General features: G+C 34.8%; 1 pseudogene; it reads right to left on the bottom strand.

Moving 5' to 3' along the window:
* Positions 6,937 to 8,268, bottom strand: LOC100533638 (zinc finger protein 85 pseudogene; annotated as a pseudogene).

Here is a 10,538-nt window from a genome sequence, read left to right as displayed (position 1 = left end):
TACTTTTGTTTTTGTTTTGTTTTTGTTTTTCAGAGTCTTGCTCTGTCTGCCAGGCTGGAGTGCAGTGGCACAATCGTGGATCAATGCAACCTCTGCCTCCAAGATTCAAATGATTCTCTGACCTCAGCCTCCCAAGTAGCTGAGATTACAGGCACTCACCACCCCGCCCGGCTAATTTTTGTATTTTTAATAGAGACAGGGTTTCACCATGTTGGCCAGGTTGGTCTCGAACTCGTGAGCTGAGGTGATCCACCCACCTTGGCCTCCCAGTGTGCTGGAATTACAGGCACGAGCCACCGCACCCGGCTGGAAGTTACTCTTTATCTTACTATTTGTAGCAATGCATATCAATACGAAGATTGACATATCTAGATATAAATATACATAGGAAGACAAACACATAATTATATAAATATTTATATGTAAATACTTATGTATACAAAATACATTCCCCAAAAGACATTTTTAATCTTCTGGCATGCACTAAACATGCTGATGTAGAATTACTTCTTTTTTCTTTTGCTAAGTAACATGTCAGAATGGAACGTAGCCATACAATGTTGTTTATGTAAATATCAACAAAGCTTTAACTTCAAGGGCAAGTCTACAGAAATAAGCTGAAAATAAAACCATGTAACTTATCTGTCCAGGTTAGTATTTCAGTGCCCTGCATGTCTCCTCAGTGTGTGCATGTTCTGTTCACATCCACCATTTGGGGCCTGCCTTGATAAAGCCACAGTCTCTATTTAGATAATTGGATGATTGGATCCACCTCATCTGAGCTAATTTGCTGGTTGGAATCACCTGGGCTGTGCAAATTGGCTGATTACAACCACCTGGGTTCTGCTAATTTGCTTATTTAATTTACCTCGGCTTCAGGGGTAGAATACGGAGATGTCATCTGATCTGCTTTATTTCTGAGCCTTTTTGTTTGTGAGATCTATGCACAAATAAACATTACGTAGACATATCCATGTGACTCATTTTATGTGTATATGTTTATCTAGCCATCTATTTTATATGTACAGAAATAAGCCTGTAAAATAAACTTGGTCAGAGGTTATTTTCATTTCTTAACCTACAGTTAGGTAAATTCAATCAGCTACTTACCTCAGTGAAGATTTATTCAAACCAAGCCACACGCCACATCACATTTTTTTCCACAAGTGTAAAAATGTTCTTAATAACCTGGCACCTGGGTGTTTTTAATTCTGGTCTCATTAAAACAGCCCAGTGAGGTTTTGTTCATCTATCTAGGAACCACCAAAAATGCTTGACATTAGTGGGCTGAGCCTTCCTCACAAAGAAGATTTGATGTGGTAAATAAAAGCCACCTGTGGCACTTAGGTGAATGTTCATTATCACCCATTTGAAATGTGGCCAAGTACCATGCACCATTATATTTGCTTCCATCATCACCATCTTTCTTCTAAAAAGAGACCTAGACTTCTTTTGCATTACCATAAATACCCGACTTCAGCCACAAAGACAAAAAAGACAAGGGTGTGATTTTACATCACAAAGTGCTGGGATTACAAGTGTGAGCCACCGCACCCAGCAAAAGTATAATCTTTCATAAAACATTAATGGATTTTAATAAAAACAAGCATATGCATCAATAATGCTTGTGGTAAAATAAAGATTCATTTTGTTGATTTCTATTGAGCTCCCAAATATTTGATCAAAAGCTAGCAAATATACAGCAGAACAGGAATATTATTCTAAATAAGAATATTGTGAATGATTATTTTGTCAATATAAGTAAAAATATGACCTCACACTAATAGTCTCGCCTATAGTTGTACAACATCAAGTGCTATGTTTTATTTAAAATTGTATTTCATATAAGTATTCAATTTATATCACCCTCCTTTGCTATTTCAATGCCTTCTCCACTTTATATCAGTGGAAAACAGGCCAGCAGGTCCCAGGAAAGCACGTGGTGCTATTGCTGCTTTAACAATGATCGTGAAGAGCACTTGTTTGGGTGCTACTAACGTGTCAAATACTGTTATTTGGCTTAAAGTACTGGTTTTCTATTTTTTTATAAATGTACTAGTAATACAAATTTGTTAGCTAAGAAGACTTTATCTTATTCAAATATGTTTTATGGGATTTCATTGACATTTAAGTGTCTGAATTATCTGGAACATTGAAATTCTCCATAAACCCAAATTGAGTACTATAATCATTTACTAAAAGCTTTTCTGAGGCAGAGTAAGATTTATAACATTTTATTATCATATGGAAGAAGTGTGTTAACCATGTTTTCAGTAATCACTCTGAACACAGCATTCTCAGTTCCCAGTATGCACCCTGAGTCACTCAGGGGAAACTGGTTTCTCTGTGAAGAGGCAGAAGAAAATGCTGAGTGGAGGCACCACACTGCACAGCAATGCTTTCCATATGCACCTATGAGGGTCTTCATTTAATTGGACTGTTATTTGCATGGCTAGATACTTACTGAATTTAGTCATACTAGTTTTTAGCAGCTAATGGCTTCTGTTACCCATTAATTTTATACATTGGCTTTTTTGAAAAACAAGTCATTTGTTAATTTACTCTAAATTGAGACTACATTTACAACTTCAATTTTTCAGTGTTAAAGCAAATCAGAGAAGAGCAATGTGTGTATATAGTGTGCATTTTCCTGCCTATCAAAATTCTTCCTTCATTGCCTTGGAAACCCTGGGCAGCCACCAATAAAATACTCCCTTTGAATACTTTAGCAAGGATTTTAGATTTCAAAAGGTCAAAAACCATCATTGAGCAAAGCCAAAATCTTGTCTTTGTTTCTTGCTAATTATCTGGCCATTTCCAAAAGCATGGAAATTATGCCAAGCCATTGAAAAGATGTGGTTTTGATTAATTTTATCCCATGTCAAATGTTTTCTCTAATTGTTACTTTTGTCATGTTAATCTAAAACAAACCATCTACATAACTAATCATGCATTCAATATTCATGTTAAGGTGTTTACAGTTTAATATTATATTACAGTATAGTAGAATCCTCTATAATTAGAAGTTAATTATTTATAAATGTATTGTTTTTAAGGTTTTTCAAAAGTGAAAACAAATAATTAGGAATGCTTTTTGAAATAAGTTCAATTCTAGGACATTACCCACTGGTCTTCATGGTATTTCTGTAATGAATACTGTAAACCTGGGTCACCAGAATGGTGCAGACATGCTGATTGAATTAGAATGAGTTCAGCCTTGTTGGTAGACTATTGGTATCCCAGAGGCTGATCATTCACTACAGCTTACTAAATGTAGTTCCATAATGCCAGAGAGCACTTTTACCCAGGTTACCTTTTTCCTCCCATTAATTTGGTCCTGTTGTGGTCTCCTCTTTCTCTTAAGCTATCCCAGATGAGAGGTGATTATTTCTTGCATGAATGAATTTCCCTTTTCTTCCCCCTCTGCCATAGGATCCTCTTATTCTCCCTACTGGAAGCAACATCCAGGAGGCAGGAATGATGACAATATACAAACATGTTTCCTGCCATGTGACCACCATAAGCAGCTTACAACATGGCCCACCTAGAAGTCACTGACTTTAAAGCCAGCAGGGGTGATTTTCTGTGATGTGTCTCTTTCCCTTAAAAGCACCTATGATTAAGATTAGCACAATCAGGATAATCTCCATTTTGATAACACAAAGTCAACACATGAGTAACCTAATTTCATGAGTAATTTCCCACCACAGTCACACATCTTTTTACACTCAAGAGGAAAGTATTACACAGCAGGTGTGCAACAGACTGGGAATCCAGGGTATTATCTTAGAATGTTGCCTACCCAACTGAATAAGCTTTTAAAATATTCTTTCTGCTGTTTTTGTTATCTACATAAACAAAGCTGTCATCTGCAAATAATAATTAACTCCTTTCCAGTTTTATTCATCACAAATATTAACTAACATCTTCTTTCTGGCTTATTTTTCCTTTATGTACTATTTTATACATTCACACACACATAGAACAATAAAAATCTATCCACTTAGTCAATTTTAGTGAAATTTACATTAAAATAAATGTTAGAAATAATTGTTTTCTGTTTGAAGAGGGCTTTTATTGTTGTACTCAAGAGTGTTATCTCTGGAGAGAAAGTTGCCTGTGCTTTAATAGGCAGATTCTGGGGAGAATCCGAACCATAAGTCATAAAATTTTACATTAATAAATTCAAGACAAAGCAGAAAGTATAGATTTGCTTTCAGCATTTTCATGGTGTTTAGTTTTCTATTAGTCACCTAATTAATTTGTTTTGTTCCAATAATTGCACTTTTCTTCTAAAAATATGTACAAACTCATACACAAACACACTCACTTTATAATTTTCTTACATCTAAGGTTTATCTTCAGAGTAATATGTGTATACTTAACTCTATGTAAATTAAAAGTCTATATGATTGCATGCAGAGAGACCACATGTTCAAAGAAAACTATATAACAAATATTTATTAATAATTTTTCAGGACTCAGAAATGTATGAATTTTATTTCTATTTCTGTTTATTTTATTTATTTATTTTTTGAGATGGAGTCTCTTCTGTCACTGAGGCTGGAGTGCAGTGGTGCAATCTCAGCTCATTGCAACCTCCATCTCCTGGGTTCAAGCGATTCTCCTGCCTCAACCTCCAGGCATGCGCTGCTAATTTTTATATTTTTATATTTTTAATAGAGATGGGTTTTCACCATGATGGCCAGCCTGGTCTTGAAATCCTGACCTTAGGCAATCCACCTGTCTTGGCCTCTTAATGTTCTGGGATTACAGGCATGAACCCCTGCTCCTGGCTGTATTCTATTTATATTTCTGTATAATTTTTATTATAACCATAAAAATAACCCTGTAGTCCATAAGAATTTAATTGTACATTTTACAATAAATAATAAAGTGTATAATTACACTGTTTGTAATAGAAAGAATAAATGCTAGAGATGATGGATGCTCTATTTACCCTAGTGTAATTACTACGTATTGTATGCTTGAATACAAATATGCCATATAAGGCATAAATATATACACATACTGTATACACACAAATACTAATAATAAATTTCAGTAAGAAAAAAGAGTAAAAATTTAACCTATAAGAACAGTATTCTTCAACTCATTTGCAGTTTAAAGCCACTGGCAAAGTGATTACTAGAGATGTTATTCCACTATGCACCAAATAGTATATTGCTACCATCTTTTACCTACACCCTTAAGTAATGTGGGATAGGCTAAATTTAGTTGCATAATAATGCTTCATTCAATGCACAGTAGTCTTAACATGGTAAAAAAAATAAGTTCACACATAATCTAACAATTTTTAAATGTACTGCATTTTATTACATAAAAGTACAACCAGTAAAATTACTAATTTATTTTAATATACTTTTAACTATAATTAATAATTTCTCTCACTATAATATAGAAAAGTATTACTCTGAACATCTACCATATGCATTACTTAATATAGGTTAACTACAAAGAACCTCTCCACTTATATTTTCATCAGGCATCTTTCATTTTAATGTCCTTACTCTTTTATAGAAAAGGTCATAAATATGCCCAATTAATAAAAAAGAATCTCTAATATCTCGATGCAGCAACAATTGATCACATGCTTTCACACGTGAATACGATAGGAATAAAATAACAGCACAAAGTAATTTGAAAGCTGTATTACATCATTATTCACTTTTCAAAAAATTTTTTTCAAGGAAACAAGTATACTTTCAATGTAATTACAATGCTTCAAAAAATCTACTCCTTTTATAGTTACATACAAATAATTTATCTAACAACTTTAGTCGTGGATTAGTTTTTATACTCAACACTCTAAGTGTAATGTCTGAAGTGTCAGTGCCTTAGTTATTCTAGTGTAAATTCTCTGATATTTACATAGAATCAATTTTGAATTAAGCATTTTTTCTTATTTACTGCAACGGCAAAAATATACTTTAGTATAAACTCTCTGGTGTTTTACAAGCTGTAGTTTTTGTAAAAAAAAAAATGTCTCTCCAAATTCATTACATTTGCAGGACTTTTCTCCAATATAAAATCCCTGATGTTGAACAAAGCTTGAGCAACTGCTTAGGGATTATCCTCTAGTACAAAATGATTGCAATAAGATCTGTGATACAAGTAAAGGTACCACAACCTCCTTTATATTTGTAATGGTTGTCTTCAGAATAAATTTTTTTTCACTTTAAAGGTTTATATTTTCTGAAAGATTTTTTGACAGTAATTGTACTTTTAATGCTTTTATTAATTATGAATCTTCTTATGTTGAGTAAGATGTGAGTAGGCATTAATGGTTTTTCCATATTCTTTATATTTGTACGATTTTTCTCAAAGATACTAGCTTTACTATGAAATAAGGTGTAAGCACTGATGAAAAGTTTTGCCACATTCTTCACACTTGTAGGAGTTTTGGCAGTATGAATTATCTTATGTACAATCAAGCGTGGCAACCATATAAAGGCTTTTTCACATTTTATGTATTTCTAGAGTTTCATACCAGTATAATTTTTTTTATGTATAGAAAAGTTGGAGGGGTTGCTAAAAGCACTTTCACATCTTTCAGGTTTGTAGAGCTCCTCTTCAGCATGAATTATCACCATGTCTCTTAAGAATTGAGAACTTGTGGCTGGGCATGGTGGCTCATGCCTGCAGTCCCAGCACTTTAGGAGGCTTAGGCGGGTGGATCACCTGAGGTCAGGAGTTTGAGACCAGCTTGGGAAATATGGTGAAACTCCATCTCTACTAAAAATACAAAAATTAGCTGGGTGTGGTGGTGGGCACCTGTAATCCCACTTACTTGGGAGGCTGAGGCAGGAGAATGGCTTGAACCCAGGAGGCGGAGGTTGCAGTGAGCCGAGATTGTGCCATTGCACTCCAGCCTGGGTGACAAGACTGAAACTCTGTCTCAAAAAAAAATAAAAATGAGAACTTGTTATAGGCTTTGCCACATTTTTCACACTTGTAGGTTTCTGTCCAGTATAAATTATGTGTAATGAGGGTTGAGAACTTCCTTAAAAAGCTTTGTCACATTCTTGGTTTCTGTCCAATATGAATTATCATATGTTTATTAATGTCTGAGGATCAGTTAAAAGCTTTGCCACATTCTTCACATTTGTACGGTTTCTCTGCAGTAGAAATTCTCTTATGTGTAGTAAGGTGTGAGGACCAGCTGAAAGCTTTGCCACATTCTTCACATTTGTACGGTTTCTCTGCAGTAGAAATTCTCTTATGTGTAGTAAGGTGTGAGGACCAGCTGAAGGCTTTGCCACATTCTTCACATTTGTAGGGTTTCTCTCCTGTATGAATTATCTCATGTTTACTAAGGGTTGGTGATTAAATAAAGGCTTTGCCACATTTATCACACTTGTGTGATTTCTCTCCAGTGTGAATTTTCCTATGTGAAAAAAGTGTTGTGGGATGGTTAAAAGCTTTGCCACATTCTCTACATCTGTAGGGTTTCTCTCCAGTATGAAGTATCTTATCTGTAGTAAGGGTAGAGGAGTACATAAAGGCTTTGCCACATTCTTCACATTTGTAGGGTTTCTCTCCTTTATGAATTATCTTATGTGTGGTAAGTTGAGAGGAGTTCTTAAAGACTTTGTCACATTCTTCATATTTGTAGGGTTGCTCCTTAGTATAAATTATCTTAGGTGTAGTAAGGGGTGAGGACCAATTGTAGGCTTTGCAACATTCTTCACATTTGTAGGGTTTCCCCTTAGTATGAATTATCTTATGTGTAGTAAGGTTAGAGGACTGCTTAAAGGTTTTGGCACATTCTTCACATTTGCAGAGTTTCTCTCCAGTATGAATTATCTTATGTGTAGTAAGGTGTGAGGACCAGTTGAACGCTTTGCCACATTCTTCACATTTGTAGGTTTCTCTCTAGTATAAATTTTCTTATATGTAGTAAGGGTTGAGGACTGGTTAAAAGCTTTGCCACATTCTATACATTTGAAAGGTTTTTTCCAGTATGTCTTCTTTTATGTCTGTTTGAATTTGAAAATTTATGAAAGACTTTCATATATTTATCACATTGAAATATTTTGCTCTGGGTATTTGTGAAACATTGGTTAAGTCCGTTACAACCTCTTTTGTGCACCTCACACTCATCCATATTTTCACAGCCTTTTTTTTTACTGTAAATTGTCATGTCCATTTTTTTCATATCTTCTCAGTATCACTTTTTGGAAAGATTCTTTTATTCTCTGCTCTGGCCAAAGGTCTTGGGCAAAATGAGACCACATAACCAAAAGAAACAATAAAAACACATTACTTCAATTGCTAGACTCAGATAAATATACTTTACAAATCTAACCTATAAAATTATACAAACTACATAAGCAAGATGACATAGGAAAATACCACAAGCTGTAATTTCTTCCTGGACATATAAATTTAACAAAAACATACTGACCAAAATACATTTGTAACAAATTTATAAATAAGTTACGTGTATGAACGGCCCCAGGTGAGCACAATGCAAACAGCCACATAGAAGAAAAAGTAAAGTCTGTTACTTATACCCAACACAGGTCCTCCTGCTCTCCAGTATAACATTGTGCTTTTAAAAGTAAAAAGCTGGCTGGACTTGGTGGCTCATGCCAGTAATCCCAGCTCTTTGATAGGCTGACATCGGTGGATCATGAGGTCAGGAGTTCAAGACCAGCCAAGATAGTGAAACCCCATCTCTGCTAAAAATACAAAAAATTAGCCGGTCATGGTATTGGGTGCTTGTAGTCCCAGCTACTCGAGAGACTGAGGGAGAGAGTTGCTTGAACCCAGGAGGCGGAGGTTGCAGTGAGCCAAAATTGTGCCACTGCACTCCAGCCTGGGCAACAGAAAGAGACTCCGTCTCAGAAAACAAAAAGAATAATAAATAAATCAAATCAAATCAAATCAAATCAAATCAAATATATTGAATAATATTCAGTAAGTGAAATAGGAACACAGACAACTTCTGAAGATTAGAAAAATGAGGATAACAACAAGAAATATTAAAAAGGAAAAAAAAGGCCAGGCACGGTGGCTCACGCCTGTAATCCCAGCACTTTGGGAGCCCAAGGCAGGTGGATTACCTGAGGTCTGGAGTTCAAGATCAGCCTGGCCAATGTGGTGAAACCCTGTCTCTACTAAAAATACAAAAACCAGCTGGATGTGGTGGTGGGCACCTGTAATCCCAGCTACTCGGGAAGCTGAGGCAGGGGAATTGCTTGAACCCAGGAGGCGGAGGTTGCAGTGAGCCGAGATCATGCCATTGCATTCCAGCCTGGGCAACAGGAGCAAAACTCTGCATCAAAAAAAAAAAAAAAAAGCAAAAAAAATCGTGAATATAAATAATACAAAAAAATAACTGAAAATTTCTTAAAACATGATATAAAGATGAAGAAGCTAAACAAACTAGGATACACCAAAGATATTCATAACAAATACACATATAAATAAAATTTCAAAAATCACAGATAAGAAGAAGAGAATTTTGGGAGGTGCAAGATAAAAATGATGTGTTATTTATAAGCATGGTTTCATGAGATAATCAGTGAATTTATTAAAAAATTTGCAGGTCAGAAGGAAGCTATGTGATATTGTTAAAGTTATAATTAAAAAAAAACTGTCAAGTGGGAATGAGAATATCAGGAAAATTGTACTCTCAAATAAAAAGAAGTCCTTCCAAAGTAACCAAATCCTGAGAAAGTATATTGGCACTGCATATGTCCTACATATCAAAGATGCTGAAAGGAGTTTCTTCCACTGAAAATAATATAATGCAAGAAAACAACACTTAATCATATGAAAATACATAAATTTCTGGAAAAAATATGTACATACACAAAAATAAAAGTTCTTACTTAACATTATCATAATGGTGCAGAAAACATTGTTAGTTATTTTCTAAAATTTAAAAGATAAAAGTATAGGAATTACTATAAACATCTGTTAATGAATATACAACATAAAAAATATAATTAGCAAAATCATAACAAAGTTGAAGGCTGATGTAATGATGAAGAATTTTTGTATGCAACTGAAGCTGATTCTTTATCACAAACAAATATATTGTTGGATCTTTTAGAGGTTTTATGTAATCCTTGAAAGTACCACTTAGAAAATATCTGTATAGATACATAAAAAAGAAATAAGACAAAAACAGAAAGCATGTTATTGCGGGATCTGGCCAGCAGCCCGCAATGCAATGGGGCTCTTTCTTTGTTCCCAGGTGGATCGGCAGGTCAAGAAATAAAAGACACACACAAGATAGTGAAAGTTGAGTCCAGGAGGGTCACCGCCTTCTGGTCCTGCCATGCTGCCAATGCACTGGATATACCAGCATTTATTATTAAGTTTAGTGAGGGTGGGGGTAGGTTAATGAGGGATTTAGAGTCGTTTGATTATGAGGTGAGATGGTCACATGGGAATGAAGTAATTCTTTAACATAACATCAATATGCAGAAGTACAGTATACAGAGATAAGAATTTACAATATAGTGTGTGCATCAGCAATTTTTAACAGAGCCTTAAAACGGAAA

This window comes from Homo sapiens, chromosome 19, assembly GCF_000001405.40.
Source record: "Homo sapiens chromosome 19, GRCh38.p14 Primary Assembly".
Lineage (NCBI taxonomy): Eukaryota > Metazoa > Chordata > Mammalia > Primates > Hominidae > Homo > Homo sapiens.
This window is presented reverse-complemented; position numbering and strand designations above follow the sequence as displayed.